This window comes from Homo sapiens, chromosome 6 (genome assembly GCF_000001405.40).
Source record: "Homo sapiens chromosome 6, GRCh38.p14 Primary Assembly".
Taxonomy (NCBI): domain Eukaryota; kingdom Metazoa; phylum Chordata; class Mammalia; order Primates; family Hominidae; genus Homo; species Homo sapiens.
In genome coordinates, this window is record NC_000006.12 from 101,421,936 (window position 1) to 101,441,110 (window position 19,175).

Here is a 19,175-nt window from a genome sequence, read left to right on the forward strand (position 1 = left end):
TATTTAGGGAGAAGAAGAATGCTTTGTGACAATTTACCTTTTAAGTTACCAATGACACTTTTGTATGACATTAAAAGTGTTGCTCCTATTATTAATACTTCATTTGAATTAAATTCCCAACTCTTATTCTGGCCTTGTTATAGGAGAAATAATTCACATACACAAATAGCAGCAGTTGTGTACTTAAAGGCAAGCCAAATGCATATCATGCATCAGAAATGGAAGTACCACCTCTGAGAATTCAGGAGTGTTCACATAATCGGCACAGGTTTTTACCCAATTGATTAAATTACATTCCTCTGCTTTAACTGAGGGGGAGTAATTCTAAAGGTTATGAAATCAATGCAAGCTGCTCTTGGATTGTATTATTTACTTGAATTTAGGATCCAGATTCTTCTCATCACCTGAAAGACAAATCATATTTTTCTCCTGGAGTCCTTCAGAAATTCCCAGAGTAGGCTCAAGTATTACATGAATAATTCATTTTACTCACTACACATTACAGCACTTAACAAAGGCTGCGGCCAGAGTCTCCTCCTTGGGGAAGCTAATTTGGAGCATCATTATGGTTCTGATTCCCAATGTTTAACAGCTTTGTGACCTACCTGATGAAGTCCTTTTTGTTCAGATCTGTTAAAGAAAAACTTCAAGTTTAAAATTTCATTGAGAATATTATTAGAAGGAAATACTCCCAGGCTTTCACATTTACTCCACCCCTGCCTTTGAGTAAAAAGATTAAAAAAAAAAAGAAGAAGAAACAAAGAGACACTTTTGAATATAAATTCAATCTACTGCCCCCAAATATTTTCTTAACATTGAAAAATCAAATGACATGATTTAAGTATCATACATATATTTCCCCTTGATTTATTCAACATTGGAACTCAACCAGAAAAAATAATTATGTGAATACATATGTGGACATCACTTAGAACTCTGTGTGGAGTTCTGTATATTTTCCTTGGTTTACAGTGCATTTTTTCTTATGGCTCTTATGGGAATTCATCTGAACTTTCATGTTGTCATAACACTTCAGTGTTCTCTCAGTTATAATTCATTACCACATGGGATGCAGATGGGCTGTGCACTTTAGCACATGCTGAAATATAAAAGTCTGAAGGCACTGCTGACTATTCAGCTGACTCTAACAATGACCAATATAGAGACACCGGTCTTTGTATGTTACTCTCTTTCTCTATCCATCCACCCCCATTCAGACAAACCCTTGGATAAATTGAACACTCTTAGATACCAAAGGTTAGAAATAGTGAGTTCTTCAGTGACTCTAATGAGCTCACAGCTGAGTATATTTTCCAGACTAACTTAGTTTTGAATATCAAGAGAGACCCCCATTTTATTCATGTGAGTAGGGAAGAGAAACTTGTTCTTAGGTATACTTTAAAAAGCTCTATTTTTAAAATTTGGATAGACTTCCCTCGTGTTTTCCATAGCAACAGCACCATTTTACAGTCCTGACAACAGTATACGAGTGTTCCAATTTTCCACATTCTCGACAGCACTTGTTTTTTTATGTATTTATTTTTGAAAGTAGACTAACAGATATGAAGTGATATCATTCATTGTAGTCTGATTTGCAATTTCCTGATGAGTTGTTTTGTTGAGCATCTTTTCATTTACCAGTTGGCCATTTGTATATCTTCTTTGGTGAAATGTCTATTCATGTCTTTGCCAACTTTAAAATCAGGTTATTTGTTTTTGTTATTTTTGCTATTGAGTTGTAGGAACTTCTTATACAGTTTTGATATTAATCCCTTATAGAACTACCTTATAATCAGTCAATCCAACTTCCAAGCATTTATTCAAAACTTTTGATACTAATCCCATATTGAACTACCTTATGATCAGTCAACCCAACTTCTGGGCATTTATTCAGAAGCATTGAAATCAGAATCATGAAGAGATAGCTGCACTCTCATGTTCATTGCAGCATTATTCACAATAGCCAAGATATGGAAACAACCTAAATGTTCATGGATAGATGAAAAAAGAAATTATATGGAATGTAAGGTAGCTGTGGGAGTGGTAAATGTCTACAGCCAGAGTAAAGATTATAATGATTACTCATGAGGATTTGATTTCTCCTATGGAAAATATATGTATTTGGGGGTTGTTACTATTTTCTGTAAAGAAACAGGAGATTCAACTTGCAATAAAATTCATAACAAGTGCTATGAATCTTGCTCTATCCAAATTTTTTTTCTTCAGAATTTTTTTTATTTTTTTTTATTATACTTTAAGTTTTAGGGTACATGTACACAACATGCAGGTTTGTTACATATGTATACATGTGCCATGTTGGTGTGCTGCACCCAGTAACTCTTCATTTAACATTAGGTATATCTCCTAATGCTATCCCTCCCCCATCCCCCCACCCCACAACAGGCCCTGATGTGTGATGTTCCCATTCCTCTGTCCATGTGTTCTCATTGTTCAATTCCCACCTATGAGTGAGAACATGTGGTGTTTGGTTTTTTGTCCTTGCGATAGTTTGCTAAGAATGATGGTTTCCAGCTTCATCCATGTCCCTACAAAGGACATGAACCCATCATTTTTTATGGCTGCATAGTATTCCATGGTGTATGTGTGCCACATTTTCTTTTTTTTTCATTTTTTAAAAATTATTATTATTCTTTAAGTTTTAGGTTACATGTGCACAATGTGCAGGTTTGTTACATATGTATACATGTGCCATGTTGGTGTGCTGCACCCATTAACTCGTCATTTAGCATTAGTTATATCTCCTAATGCTATCCCTCCCCTCTCCCCCCACCCACAACAGTCCCCGGAGTGTGATGTTCCCCTTCCTGTGTCCATGTGTTCTCATTGTTCAATTCCCACCTATGAGTGAGAACATGTGGTGTTTGGTTTTTTGTCCTTGCGATAGTTTGCTGAGAATGATGGTTTCCAGCTTCATCCATGTCCCTACAAAGGACACGAACTCTTCATTTTTTATGGCTGCATAGTATTCCATGGTGTATATGTGCTACATTTTCTTAATCCAGTCTATCATTGTTGGACATTTGGGTTGGTTCCAAGTCTTTGCTATTGTGAATAGTGCCACAATAAACATACATGTGCAGTGCCACATTTTCTTCATCCAGTCTATCATTGTTGGACATGTGGGTTGGTTCCAAGTCTTTGCTATTGTGAATAGTGCCGCAGTAAACATACATGTGCATGTGTCTTTATAGCAGCATGTTTTATAATCCTCTTGGTATATACCCAGTAATGGGATGGCTGGGTCAAATGGTATTTCTGGTTCTAGATCCCTGAGGAATCACCACACTGACTTCCACAATGGTTGAACTAGTTTATCCAAATTTTTATAGATAAGCATAAAAACTAGTAGAGACATTAGATTTAATAAATACTGTAGAACAATTAGTCATACTACTGTTGACTAGCACTCTGTTGTACCAGTTTAATTATATTTTAACAAGTATATTTTATTATATAATTTCTATAATTATATTGCATAAAACATGGAAAATTGAGAGAGTAAGACATCACTCACAAGAGCAACTTCACACAACTGCTGATAGTATTTCAGCGTATTCCATTTCGTGTTTTTCCAAAATGCATCTTTTTTCCCAAATTTTTACTGTAACTGTATACAATGTTATCCTACATTTTTCACTTTGTATTAAAGTTTTAAAGACAGCAAGGCATATTTATTTTTGAACAATTGAATTTTCTTGCAATCAACTCATGTATCACAGGCCAATTCAAATTTATGATAGACTGATTTTTACTGGCTTTGTTTGCTCTTTTCCTAGACCTTTAAAATCTAAATTTCTCTGAGAATTGTCAACTCTGCTCTCTGCATGCCCAGCATTCCCCTGGCTTCTACTAACACTCCTTTTGCGTTATTCCTGAGGAGAGTTCTGTCCTGTCTTCTGAGCATCAGTTTTCCTCTCCAGGATTTGAAGGGCATACTGATTGGCAAGTCTCACTAGCACTGAGGCCATCTATTATTCACAAGTTAGTTTTTCCTCGTGAATTTCCTTTTTGTTGTTGTTGATGGACTTTTCATTCTTTCAGACTTGAAAGCTTGGAGGCATCTTTGATTTCTCTTTTTCTTCTTTACCCACATCTATTGAGAGGTGGCCATATTGTGATCATTACATCTTTTCGCTAAGCATTCAAATTCCTAATTCCAGTCTTTATTAATAATCTTCCACTTTGTGTATTGAGACACAGTACAACACTGTGCTTAAGGTGATGGGCTCTGGAGCCAGACCTCTGGGAGTAAAACCTCAGCTTTGTTATGTATGCATTAGCTGTGTGACCTGTGGCAGGATTCTTAATGTCTCTCCTTGTCTCTGTTGTGTAAGATGAGTAATACTATAGTACTTAACCAACATGGTTATGGGGAAGATTACAGAGTGTCTTCTAGCTATTTTGAAACATACTATAAATTCTTAATTATAGTCACCCTGCCACGCTATTGAACACTAGAACTTATTTCTTCTATCTAACTGTATTTTTGTATCAATTAACCAACCTCTCTTTATCCCCCCTCCTCCCTACACTTCCCAGCCTTTGGTAGCCACCATTCTATTTGTTACTCCCAAAATATCACATGTACGCCATAAACATATACAACTATTATGTATCAATACAAAAATATTAGTAGTATCAGGAAAAATAAAAGTATCAAATATTAAAAAGTTTACAGAGGATCTACTGTCTACAGGCACTCAAATGGTGTAGCCCCTGTCATATTTGTGCCTGCCTCTCTCTTTCTAATCTATCCTATGCACTACTGCCAGATTGATTTTCCTAAAATATGGTTTTGCTCCTACTGATTCCTTCCCTTTTCTTCCCTTTCACCCTTCAGCTTCAATAATACTGCTTGCTAAATGAAATTCAAACTGCTTGGCCTGGCATTTAAAGTCCTACATAATCAGATTTTTAAGACCCCTTTCCAGCGGTCCTCTGTGCTCTAGACAATCCAAACAATATGCTATGTTTTCTTTAAAGGCCTAGTTTAAGGGTGATATATAATATGCTTAATATCCTGTAAAGCACAGACACATATCCCAATCTGGAGTCAGGTCTTAGGGAGCCAGCCATGCCTTAAAATGTTAGTTGTTTAATTGTGAGAGGCCCCATGAGAGGGGCCTGTGGAGCTTGGATGGCAGGAAGGCCTTGGGGAAGGTTGGGGCAGAAGCCAATTACCACATGGTATGGAAGTATCTCAATATATTAACAACTTCTACAGCTGAACCAAGGCATGACAACTAAATGTCAGCATTGGCCAGGTGCCTACTTCTTGACACCGCTCCTCCCACTCATTGAACTTTTTGTTGAAATTTCTTCCACATTCAATAAAACCTTTATAAAGTGCCATCCCCATTCTCATTGCTCTGCTTTTCTGAAATTCTGTGGTTCATCTAAATAATCCTGTTTTGGAAGTTACATATTTGTCTTCCCTTTTCATAGTTAACTTTATCCACGAATATATTTAGTTACATATGGTTACCTAAGTAGCTGGAAAATGTGCATGAAGGCAGGGACTATATACTTTTCATCTCTGCATCCATACCCTGGTGCTGTTATCGTAAAGTGCAGCCAGTCAATATTTGCTGAATGAACAACTAAGCTGGCACAATTCAGTACTTTATTATTTTTCTAGCAAAGAATGTACCTGTGCTCCCTGGTAATTTTGAATATGGATTACAAATTACCAGATTTGAATTATGGCAATACTTTGTATCGGTAAATTTTGTGTGCATGAAAATATAAAATTTTGGGTAGAATTAAATGATTCATTTAGGTGAATTGGTCATTCAGTCAGCCAGTGGGGTCATTCTGTGTTTAGTCAGTCTGTTAGTCAGTCACTTTGTCTGCCATTTATCCATTCATTTATTCATTCACTGAATAAATGCTAGCAATTCACAGCTAAAAGATGTTGGTGGTCTCTGTGATGTAAAATTTCTGGGATGCTTCGATGGATCACAGAGGCAATGGGTAATATTTTTGAGAATGTTAAATGCTTTGCTAATTTCTAACCTTCAGATGTATGTACTCGGAAAGTAGTTCTGGAGTCATCTTTTGCTTAACACATCCTGCTATTAGATTTTCTTTAATTAGCTCATTAGGAATTAATATCTGTGTTTGAATTACAAATCCACATTTTATCACCTATGAACAAAAATGTCAGCGATTTTGTTTCATGTGAACCAGACCAACACACAGTAATTATTTCTGAATATGAAACACGTTAAAAATAAAACAAAAATCTGGAGTTCCCTTGAGCTTGACAATTACCTTGTTGTCTACTCTGTTTGCTAGTTAGGCACTGAAAATTCTTTAATACAGCTTTGATTTGTTAACATGCAGTTTTTAAAAATGCTGCCTTCCTTATTGAAGTGAGGGAAATGCATTTCTACTGGTTACAGATATTTTTACAGAATTAAATGAGAGGAACAAAAATGAATGGATTTTGTCAGTCAGTTGCCAACACAGAAGATAAGGCCTAAGGCTTTGGTCATTTAACATTTGTGATATAATTTTAAAAATCTTAGTAGGATTAAAGAATATCACATTCTATTATTTCTAATTTGATTTTTAGAAGACCTATGGAAATGTTGATTTAAAAAACTATATTGAAATAAAAAATGGTTCTTGCAGTTACGTAAGGAAATTATTAACATTATTAAACAATATAGAATCCTTAACTTTGACAAAGAACCAAGTTTGAATGAAAATACATATATTAGTTTAAAAATATGTAATGAGAATCTATAAAATCATAGAGTTTAAAAGCAAAGGACATCTTAAGGCTTTGTTCAGTAGCCTTGTTTCCTCTCCTAAGGAACGTTAAGTGTTGAAGTAATTAGTGTTAGTCTGCAGGTGGGTGACAGGGGGTTAGACTTCTGCTCACATCCCTGTCTTCCTGCTCTTCCACTGCATCACACTGTCATTCTTTTAAATATGTTTTATCATTGTTCTTTCTCCTTTCAAATTCTTAGGTTTCTTATCAGACTTGCTGCATTAGAATTCTAAGACAAAGACTTTGAAAAATTCAATGACTTTTTAATTAACTACAACTTTAAAATGCTGACATTTGCACCTCAACCTGAGTCCAACTTACTAAACATTGTGTGTTTTGCAATCTAATTATATGTTCTCTTGGGAATAGCAAAGTCATAGTGACCTTGGTGTCCCCATAATACCTACTGAGAATGACACATATGAACTGAACCGGATCTTCAGTCAAAATACTTTACAAGCAGCTATTTACTTGTTATTCCTAATTCAGGAACCACAAGGTCCTCAATTTTGTAAATGGCACGTTCAGAGGGGAATCAAATTGCAGATGAATGAGAGAATTTACATAGGACTAGGAGACATGATACCCTTGTTGCTCGTAATGTTTCATTAACACTTAACTAGAGAGAGATGTAGTGCACACCCTAACTACATATGCACTGTCCTTCTTCCCTTATATTTTCAGCAGGGTAATTCACAGCTGTGAGTCAGAATGATAGCATAAGGGCTTCAGAGCTCTGATCACAGACCAAGAATTATCTTGGCAGAGAAATGAGGAGCAGTTAGTACCAAGAGCCTAAAAAGAAAGTGCTAAGTAGATAATTAACATCTTTTCTCTCAGTGGCAACCTGGAAAAGTTCTTGGTAAGGAGCCATAAAGAGGTCTCTGGCCTATAAGAAGGAAGAAAAATGTAACAGACTTCCTGAAAAAAATGGAGAGGGTTTTTTTCTTTTTTTCTGTTTTCTTTTTTTCCAATTATAGCAGCACTTTATTTTTCCTTACACAATGACGTGTTGCTGGGGCCTAATGTTCTCACATAACAGTAGAAAGCCAAAATTTGTTGTCATTTCTTAAAGAATTGAGAATAGTGTGCAAAAATATCTTACATAAATTAAAAGGATGAATAAATTTACAGGTATTAATGCAGACAACTTTCAACTCCTGGCAAGTAACAGCCCACGGTGTTCTGGCAGGAAAACACCAGGTAAGAAAGGAAACTGGGTCCTAACGCTTGGACTTCTCTAACCTTTGTAGACCAGCAAGACAGAAACAACTGGTTCAGGAGCTCTTGCCAGCCTTTAGAGAAATCCTGGAACACTGAGCTCTGACACATTAATACCTGCACAGATCGACAGACTGCTGGGCACACAGACTCACCAAACCACGGACTTTTCTTCCACAATCATGTTCTCACCTCAGCCACTGAGTGACCGAGTTACATGTACTAAGGGTTTAAATCCAAGATACATACAGGGTATTAAACAAATACCAAGGGAACAGTTAAGTTCAATACAAAGTCAAAATCAGCAGCAAGTTTTATAATCCAGTGCTGGTAATCAGATACAAGCTTCTGGGACAAATTTCTTTTCAAAGGCTTACTCTAGTTTCATGAGACTAGCATGAAGTGTTCTGAATTAACCCATGCAGCAAATGCTACACATCTGCTCACAGCCTATTCTGCTGGGTGATCCACATCTGCTGGAAGGTGGAAAGGGAGGCCAGCATGGAGCTTCTGATCCACACCGAGTATTTGAGCTCAGTGGGGGTGATGATCTTGATCTTCGTGGTGTTGGGTGTCCGGGCAGTGATCTCCTTCTATATCCTGTCAGTGATGCCCAGGTATGTGATTGTGCCTCCAGATAGCACTGTGTCAGCATATAGGTCCTTGTGAATGTGCACACCACACTTCATGACAGAGTTGAAGGTGGTCCCAAGGATGCCTCAAGATTCCATTCTCAGGAAAAAGGAAAAGCGCCTCTGGACACCAGAACCTCTCACTGCTGATGGTGATGACCTAGCCGTAAATCAGCAACTAGCTCCTTTCCAGGGAGGAAGAGGATGCCATGGTGGCCATCACCTGCTCAAAGTCTAGGGCAGCATAGCACAGCTTCTCCTTGATGTCGCGCACTATCTCCCACTAGGCAGTGGTGGTGAAGCTGTAGCCACACTATGTGAGGATCTTCATGAGGTCCAGGTGCAGGATGGCCTAGGGAAAGGCATAGCCCTCAAAGATGGCACTGTGTAAGTGACCCCATCTCCAGAGTCCATGACAATACTAGTAGTACTACCGGAGGTGTACAGGGACAGCATGGCCCTGGGTGCCACATACATGGCAGGGGGTATCCAAGGTCTCAAACATGATCTGAGTCAACTTCTCTCTGTTGGCCTTGGGGTTCAGAGGAGCCTCGGGCAGCAGCACTGGGTGCTCCTCAGGAACCACATGCAGCTCATTGCAGAGGGTATGATGCCAGATCTTCTCCATGTTGTACCAGTTGGAAATAATGCTGTGCTTGAAGGAGTACTTCAATGTCAGGATGCCATGCTTGCTCTGGGCCTCTTCACCCATGTGGGAGTCCTTCTGGCTCAGTTCCAGTAATATTTATTGGAACCTTATGCTATCTCTGATGCTGTCCTGTGTGCTTACTAGAAAGACAAGTCTTTACTCTGACAGAGTTTATATTCTGGTGCTGGGGGCGCCCAACAATGGAGGGGAACATGGCTTGGGGGCGTCATCCCCAGCAAAGCCGGCTTGGCACATGTGGCGCCATTGTCAAGGACAAGTGCTGTGAGGCTCTTCTTTCACTGTGATCCATGGAGAGTGGGTTGGCAGTGGCAAGTGAAAAAAAAGGAAGGTGTTACCTGATGTGTGTGTGTTTGGTGTATTTCTGTATGTATAGAAGAGAATGTGTGACCAAAACAAAGTTAACTTATGGTATTACATATTACTTGTTTTTAGCATCAGTTTGACCATTTGAAAAATGGAATATTGGTTATCACTTTGTTACTTGGCCTGCATGGATACTTTATAACTACTGATTTAATAGTATTATTAAAGGGGAGACATTTCCAACACTGAAGTGGTTCAAGGGGCATAAAGCTTCCTGCCCATGATAACATCACCCATTTAGTGTAGACCCACGTGCACTTTTTTTCAGGCATGGATAGCTGGCATGGGGAATCATCTAACACTCCATGAGATGTGTTCCCAACAAAACATTATGCCTCATTAGAAAGCGGACTCTGTATTGTTTTTTACTGTCCACATACAAGAAGCTAATAATACACTTTGAGCAATTTTTAAAGAAATTAATACTCTTGCGCATAATTAAGAACCCTGTGGCTATTTAATTGTTGCTCTTCTCATTAGACCCTGCCCTGCTCCCTGCAGATACCCCATGCTCTCATATTTGTTCCCTCTTGCCAGGACCTTCTCCTGGGGCTGCCTGCCTATAATTTAATCAAGTCCCTCGTCCATATTTTATATTTTATATATTTTTCTGCCACCCCTAGGAAGAGTTGCTTCCTGAATCATTCATTGAACTAATATTTACTGTAACCTTATGCTGTCTCTGACTCTGTCCTATGTGCTTACTAGAAAGATGAGTCTTTGCTCTTACGGAATTCTAGTGTCTTAATCCTTTGGAGTATTCTTAAGTTATTTTGGTAAACTAATTTATACTATAATATCAGTTGCAAACATTGGAGTAAATGATATTTACCCCCCAGATAATACCCAATGACAATCCACTAAGTAAACATTTATTGAACGCCTAACAGGTTGTAGGAATACAAAGATGAATGGGGTTCTGTCCCATATTCTCATAATCTACAGGAGGAGATTGATACCTACATATTGAAAGTGATATTTAAATACAAATGTGCACTTCTATTTTGTCTTTTTGGGAAGAAAAATTCATTTTAATCTATCTAGGCATTCATCTGCTTAGGGTGAGAGGAGGGTATGATGAATTTGTTATGAAAAAGATAATGATAATATTGTTTCTGTCACACAAGAATAGGATTAAAGAGCACAATAGTGACCATATAAGCTAGGCTATTTTCTTGAGAAGGGATCATCTAAATATTTTTTTCTTCTTCTTTGGCAAACCAACAAAGAACAAATAAGTGTGGAAGAGTGAACATTCTCCACTATTAAAACATTATACATATAAAACAGAGGAAGAAAGATCTACCCCCTTTCCAGACTCTGTAATTTCAAGGAGGAGGAGGAAGAGAAGGGAATGAAACTGACATAAGGTGGTCAGGCCAAAAGAGACTCAGAGGTCGAGTGTTTGAGACACAAACGCTGAGTTGAGATCTATTGGCCTCTCATGGCACCTCACCCTGAGGCTTTAGAACTGAAAAATCCCAAGAGAAAATCCCAGAAAATCCCAAGAGATTTTTTTTCTGTAAAATGAAGGTAATAATAACTACTCTTGTTGCCGTTGTGAGAATCATAGACACGAAAAAGTATGTAAAGTATCCAATAAAGTGCTCGGCATCTAGAAAACACTTGAGAAATGCAAGTTACCTCCATTTCTTTTCAATTTACCTTCTGGCAGGACTGAATCAACTAACTTCTTCAAGGCTGAAAAGCCCAGAATGCAGACTGGCCTGACTTGCTGCTTTTATACCTGCGTGACGTGCAGCAAATTGCTTAACCTTAATTTCTTCATCTATAAAAATGAGGATAATATTAGCAACTACTTCTTAGGATGGTTATGAGTATTAAAAGAGATAACAGATGTAATGGCCTCAGCTCAGTGCATTGCAAGTGGTAGGAGTGCAATAAATATTTATTATTGCTTATGTTTTTGTTCCTTTTATGTTGTCTGATCTGATGTGTCTAAAAATTATCTTTATTTTTTTTCTTCATTGAAAATCTCCTACCTCAGGTACTATTCTTTTTTTTTCTTACTTATTGTTTTAACTGTATTTTCTTTATGCTGAAGAGCAAGATATATTGCTTTGCATTTAACATTCCAAAACAGAGCAATGGCCCATAGAGATGAGAACATTTTTAGTCTGAATCTAGAAGTGAACGGTTTGATTAAAAGAGAAAACTCTACATTTATTTATCCCCTGTTTGCCTATATTTGCAGTCACCCAATTAATGATCACCAGTTGCTTATGTAAATTACTCTCAAGAGTAGCTTAAGGAACATTTTATGAGTCGTACAGGCCAGGAATAGATCTTAAAATAGCGACTAGAGAGTTGAAGTCCGCCTGTACTATGCTAGAATTAATAGTGCATGACCTGTCACTGCAACGAGGTGGCCCCAAATTTTACTGTAGCCCGCTGACACGGGTATAGATGTGACTTAAAGGTCACCCTTAAATATAGAAAAGCATGTGGCCATGGGGTGTTTTAGACACTAACGTGCAAATAACACAAAAGTGGGCTTCCTGCTTGCTACTTATTCCTGTGTGTGAGTTGGGACTAACAGCAGCAGAGTTCTAGAGGCCTTCAGCCCATGCTCCAATTGGAGGTGAGGAAGAGAGGATGCAATGGGATACATATCCTAGGACCATTTGTGAGGAAAGTCTCTGTAATCAACCCTAAAGAGTGACGTGGCCTGAGAGATGAGTTCTCATACAAGTCTCTCTCTTCTCAGGCAAACTCGAAATAGTGGAATTTCAGAGCTAGAAGGGATCTTCAATGGCAAAGTCTTGGTCCAAACTTTCACATACTTTGTAGGTGTCTGATTCAGTGAACAGAATTTCTGACATGCAGACTTTCCTCACTAATTTGAATATTTTTTTTTTTGTTAGAAGAAGAAGAAAAATATGTCATTTATACATTTTTCCATCAGAGGAGTTTGTGAATCTTGGGTAAAATTTTATAGCTCTATCGAGTTTAACAGTTTGAATATTAACCTTCTGGATGTGAAGATTTAAAATATTTTATTTTCCTACTACTTTCTGGAATGAGACCAATCCTTTTACACATTAGGGGGATTTTCCTGGCCTTTCTGTGTTTATCTAACATGTCACACACCCGGTCCCTCATGGTGGGCTGCCCTTTGTTCTTGAGGTGAGACATGTCAGTGGTGGTACCACTGTAAATGGGGCACTTCTCTCCCCAGCTGTTCACCATAATTCCTGAAAGGGAAACATAAACCAAAGGAAATAAATAATGTTTTGCTTATTTCTCTGCAGCTGCCCCGTGAGGACCCTGGGTACTTGGCAAATCTGTTTTTGCTCCTGAGGAAGAGCCTAAGGAGAAAAGAAAATTCTATCCAGAGAGATTTAGGTTGCACAAACTGAGCCTGCACTTTCAAAGAAAATAATAGATCACATAGTCCCAACTCTTAGAGTTATTATTTTTTTCTTTTCCATTGACTCCATTTTTCCTTGCTGTACAACAGTTTCTAAAGCAGAGTTTTTGAGTGCTTTCATCCAGAACCAATGAGTGTACTTTTCTATTCTTCTTTTTTTAATATAGTGTGACTCAGCAGTGTGACAATGTCTTGCACTTAATTCCCCAGAAGTTATTGTGAACCATGGAATAATCCTTACCTTTGTCTGATGTGGCACTTTCTGCTATTCAGAACTGACATCACTCCCTTCAGGACTCAATCTCTGTCCTGCTTAAACCATGCCAAGATTTAGACAATTCTCCCAATTAACTACATTGTGAAGGCACACGGTGATTTTTTTTTTTTTTTTTGGCAATAAAAGAAAGTTGAAAACAGACTTTTAAAATTGGGGAATAGCAACCCCCTTCCCCTCAATCCCCTCCTCCAAATAAGCCACTTTTCCAGTTTTTTCATTGTGGTCCAGAAGTTGTTTTTCTCCCAGTTTGTTGGTGACATCTCCAGGCGTCTCCCTTTTCCATGATCTCCATGCCAGTGGCTTAGTAAATTTCCTTTGCACACATGATTTCTAAATCTCTATCTCTAGTTGTGTCTTCTTTCCATGCTATTAAAATTTCCTTTGATATCTCAAGATCCATGTGCCCAAAGATCATTGTTTTGTTCTTTTCAGAACCCACTTTCTCTTCTGATTAATGCCATTGACATTCTCCATCTGACACTTGGACTCAGAATCTTAGATTTGTCTTTGACTTTTTTCTTCCCTTACTTCTCAAGTTTAATCATTTTTTCAGGACTTGGAGACTTTTCAATATCAAAGCTTCCTGGATCTAGCTTGTCTTTACATACATAGACAGGTACTCATTACTTTTACACATGAATAATTGCAGTGGCCTCCTAATTTGTTTCTTTATTCTTCCCTTCTTTTATTTCATATGGAAATATTCAAATGTGCGCATATATATTTTTAAAAAGTTATATTCTTTATCCTTTTCAAAATTCAAGCTAAGATTCTCTGTTAGCGTAATCTTGCCTATAGCATTTGAAACAAGATTTGGTTAATAAACTTCCTATCTATTCAGAGTACAGTTTTTCAGGATTAAAATATTTGAATAAGTTGATGTACATGTGTATATACTTAAATATTAATATAGCTACATTTTACTAATTATTCATTTTTATGAGATAAATAGGCAGTAAGTTCAAGTTATTTTTTCAAACTCTGTTTTCAGAGGTTCATGTATATTTTATTCCTACAATATGTTTTTTGAGTGATTCAGGATAGTGCACAAAACAGAAAGCTTGACTGAAAAGATAATGATTTTTTTTTTATACTGAACTCTTAGTGACATTGTTAAAAAAATTTTTTTAGCTGCAAGGCTGTGTACTGAGACATTTAGCATTTGCCTTGTAAGAAAAATGTTCTGTAGCAAAACTTGAATAGAGTGGGGGTGTGGTAGATAATTAGGTTTCTTCCATATTTAGATCCTATGATTTATGTTACCCCCACTCTTACTGGAGCAAGATTTTTATGTGGGAGCAAGAACTAGTCTGGATAGAGAATATATAATTTGGGGAATTGGTATCTTCAGCAAATTTTCAGATTCTTCTCAGTTCATTTTATGTATAAATCTTTTGTAGAACTAAATCACCAGATTTAAGATCTTTTAGTTTTCCTTTCTTATTTTATAGAGTTTTGGGGAGGATTTGGTAAAAGTCAATAATGATTTAAAGTTTATTATTATTATTATTTTTTATTATTATACTTTAAGTTCTAGGGTACATGTGCACAACATGCAGGTTTGTTAAATATGTATACTTAAAAGTCCTATATAATTTAAAATTATATTGTAAATTTCGTCTAAATTAAGATTAAAATGGCTCAAATCATCATATTTAAAGTAGAGATCTTGATCTAGTTTACAGTTATGTATTGCATGAATTTTAAAAATAATTTTAGAGTTCAATACCTATATGGATATATATATATATATTTATACTATTTTGTAAACAAATTAAAATATTAAAACTCACAGTGTCCTTACTACAGCCAATGGTTGGCAAAGAAAATGCCTAAATTTACTAAAGACTGAGGAGAGATATTCTATCACTTGATGCAAGCAAGCAACAATAGACCACATGGCTGACTTATTTCTATACTGAGAAAAATCCTCTGTTTCCATTTTCACAAACAGAATGAAAGGCATTAGCAAAAATGTCCTGCTGCATTCCTTCATGAGACCTATTTAGGTAATGGAAATCTTAGCAAATATATTCCTTTTCCCTTTATTGATAATGGTCTAGCTACATAATAGAAACATCATGTGGGGAGCATCTAATGTACCTCACAACTGCCAACAACGGTGTGAATTAGGACAAAAAGGATTGGTCTATTTCCATTTACTTCAAAGATCCTTTTAATATTCTTTGTTGCTGTAGACTAAATATTGTGATTAAAATTTCCTTCTCTATTTCTTCATTATTATGCTTTTAACAACTTGTAATTTCACAAGACATTTCTTAGGAATAAGAAAGTGTTGTAAATAAATGTGGATACATTCTTAATACCTTAGGGAGTGGGGGCAATAGTAGCATATTGATTCACTTACAGTACATACAGTATAATACTACTTATTTTCCCAAAGTGACCATCTGTCCAGCTTGCCAGCTTGTCAGCTATCATCATTCCTCTGAGCTTCAGATCCTCGCCCGTAAAATAGGGAGAGATACAGGGTTATTGTAACAAGTAGAATAAATGACACACAAATCATTCTAATAGAGTGCCTGGTACTTCCCTTATATACCCTTCCAAGATCACTCCTCACTCCACCCTTGTTCCCTCGATGATCTTATGCTTTAATTGTGAGAGGCAAAAACAAATACAAAAGGAAATAAAGGATGAAGCAGTGGGCGGAGAATGTAGACTAGTGGAAATAAACTTGACAGGAAGCCTCCTAAATTCTAGTAGTCCTAGTTTTGCTACCAAACAGCTATGATACCTTGCTTGGATCACAAAGTCTTTCTATATCTACATATTGTCCATCAAATGAAGGTTTAATGGGGGTATTTATTAAGTGCCACATTTGTTATATAGACATTAAGTCTCATTGTAATTCTAGCATGTTAGTAGTCCTTGTGGGTTAAAGTAAGTGATTAGGGAAGATATGGAAGAAGTGGGACATGAAATGGGCTTTAGAAGTTCATTAGGATTTGGTTAGCTCAAGGGAAGACATTTATTTGTTGTTGTTTTTTTTGTCTTGATCTTAGCCAACTGAAATGTTTTAATTTTTCATAGAATGACATAATTGACCAGAATGATACGTTCTGAAGTGACACTGGCCATTAACTTAATTGCTTTAATTCTTTAGATGAATTTTATTTGAGAGATTTATAATTCTAAAAGATAATGCCTCCTGTAAATAGCTCCACTATCGTACTTATCAATATGTGTGGAACTCGTAAATGGAATATATATTGGAAACTCTTTCCAATACAGAGTCCTTTAGAAAGACCAAAATAATGTAGCCACATTGTGAGATTGCCATCAAGAAATGTGCTCAACATCGTTCTGGCACACTCTTTTAATGAGTCCATATTTGTGATTAATAAATGCGTGAAATCATTACTTTCCAGTAAATATATATAAGGTAAGATTTCAAAGTGACATGTCAAGTATGATTAGTATTTCTTCGCATTAAATTGATAAGGAACAATGTGCTTTAAAATCATAGTCACAGACTGGGGGATTTAAGAGCCATTGCCACACAGATGACAATTGAATTCCTGAGAACAGATTAGATTGCCTAGAAAGGACAAATTTGTTATAAGGCAACATGCACTTTTGTAAACTGCATTGATTTTTGTGCTAATAATAACAATGGTTATTGAGGTTGTTGATAAGTGTATAGAACTAATGAGGTTTGTTATATTTTAGGTCAACTTGGTGTCCGTTACTTTCAGTCCCAATTTTATCTCAGAACTTCTAAACCTGAGATGTAAAATAGGCTACATAGATATCTTAAACAATTGCTCAGCTGCTTTCAATGTACAGCTGAAGCTCAGTGACCATCTGTCTGGTGCGCTGAGTATTCTAAATCCTAAAAGTGTATCTCATTGGGTCTATATATGTTTATATCATATGGATTATTCTTACTGTTCATTGTTCCATGGGACTGTAGTTTGGGCACTAATCCCTTACCCAGTTTATTTTGTCCTGGGAAGCAGAGATGGTTTCATTGGATGCCCATGGTTCAAAGTAACAGCTTTATGCATAAAGAGCATCTTGAGGCCTTTACCCTCAGAAAGCAGGCATAGTTGCAACAGCCATGTAGTGTGTAATGAAGCTTCAAAGTCTTCATTACACAAGTATTATCTCAATTATCTCATCCAATCCTCACAACAACCCTATGAGAAAATTATCTATCCCCAGTCTTATCTTTTAGATGAACTACATTTTACAGCTAACTAGGTTACCCAAATTCACAAAATTAGGGACTTAAAGCCATGATTTTCTGATTCTAAAGACATGGGACTTTTCCATTATGCAATATTGACTTCAATAAATATCCCTCTCCTTTTCAATTTCCTTAATGAAAGCCATCATTATACATGTAAATATGTATATTGATAATTACTTCAAAAATGGAAATGCATTGTAGTTGAAATAACAAAAACAAGAAAATATCTATATAAGATATAGGTATTATAAGTAGCTATCTTACCTATGATGTAATTATTTTTAAATGGACTTCTGGTTTAGAATTTTGGGCTATATAGGCATACCTAGTTATCTTGAACTTAAATGCAATTTATGAAAAATAAATAATTTTTATCTTTGAGAGAGTCTTGTGAAAAGAAGACTCCTGAAAAGATTCCTGAGAAAATATTCATTTGTTATTGTTAGTGAGAATCTGGGTTTAAAAACTGCAACTATGGCAATAATGTTCTCATTGGAAGATGACCACTTCGGTGAGGTTATGACCAAATTGTTATGGAATTTTTTAAAAAAGTTAGTAAGTGCCAATGGAAGACATAACACAATTTCCAAGAAATATATGTAAGATCATAATATGCAGTTGTAGAAAAAATGATGGGGTATCAAAGAAAAATATTTCCCTGGAAAAGTGCTTGAAAAAGAATCTACTAAAACAATAAAACAACAGGAAATAAGGTGAAATTGGACGGAGAAAAAATTCAACAGAATTAGGTATAAGACACAGCATGGGCCAATCTTATTTGACAAGGTTCAATTGACATTAACAAAAACTGGACAGAAAAAACAGATTTTATGAAGAAATGAACAAAGTCATAATTTAGCTCAGTGCATTAAGTTAATCAGTTATTAAGATAATCCTGCTGAGGCACTTGAATCTTTATTTCCTTACCCAATGGTTCAGAGCCACAAGAACCCTAGTTCAAATGCTTGTGCAGTTGATCTGGTTAATCAACTAATTCTAAGACTGATCAACTTTGAAGGAAAATCATTTGAGGAAGATTATTATGCCCAGTTGGAAGTAACTGGACTAAGGAACTGAAAGCTGTACATCTTTCTGTCTGTGTGATAGAACCTGCACCCATGCAGTTGTCCAAAAACTATACTTTCTAGTTCTTTTCAGTTAAAAAATAATAATAAAATTGATGAATGGATTCCAACAGAGGGCCCTTCTCTGCCCTAAAACATATTGACACATTTACTCATATTTCTGTTTGAGGGTTTAAAGCAGCTCAAAGTTTGTAACTTCCTGTGTTTGTCTGCGCCCTTCCTCCTAAATACGCAAGGGCCTTTAGGACCAAAAACTCCTCAGCCTCCTTGTCAGATTCTACGAGAAAGAAATGCTTTTTTGTTTTTTTTTTTTGTTTTTTGTTTACTGAAGATTACAGAAAGGAGAGTGTTAGATGGTCTATCTTCTACCTTGCAGGCCTGAATTTTTTTTTTTTTTTTTTAAGACAGGATCTTATTCTGTCTTGCTGCTCAGGACAGATTGCAGTGTTGCAATCATAGCTCACTGCAGCCTTGGTCTTCTGGGCTCAAGTGATCTTCCTGCCTCAAGCTTCCTAGAGCAC

General features: G+C 36.5%; 1 protein-coding gene and 1 pseudogene across 7 annotated transcripts in view, besides 1 other annotated feature; one reads left to right on the plus strand and one right to left on the minus strand.

Annotated features, from left to right (window-relative positions):
* GRIK2 (glutamate ionotropic receptor kainate type subunit 2) overlaps window positions 1-19,175 on the plus strand; it is a 676,376-nt gene that overhangs the window by 28,228 nt on the left and 628,973 nt on the right. The window lies entirely within an intron of this gene.
* Window positions 8,300-8,801: an enhancer, noted in NCBI's record as "H3K27ac hESC enhancer chr6:101878111-101878612 (GRCh37/hg19 assembly coordinates)". NCBI's record gives its function as "activates a minimal SCP1, AML or CMV promoter by ChIP-STARR-seq in naive H9 embryonic stem cells {active_cell/tissue: H9 hESC(naive)}" and the evidence as "EXISTENCE:reporter gene assay evidence [ECO:0000049][PMID:30033119]".
* ACTG1P18 (actin gamma 1 pseudogene 18) lies at window positions 8,476-9,384 on the minus strand (annotated as a pseudogene).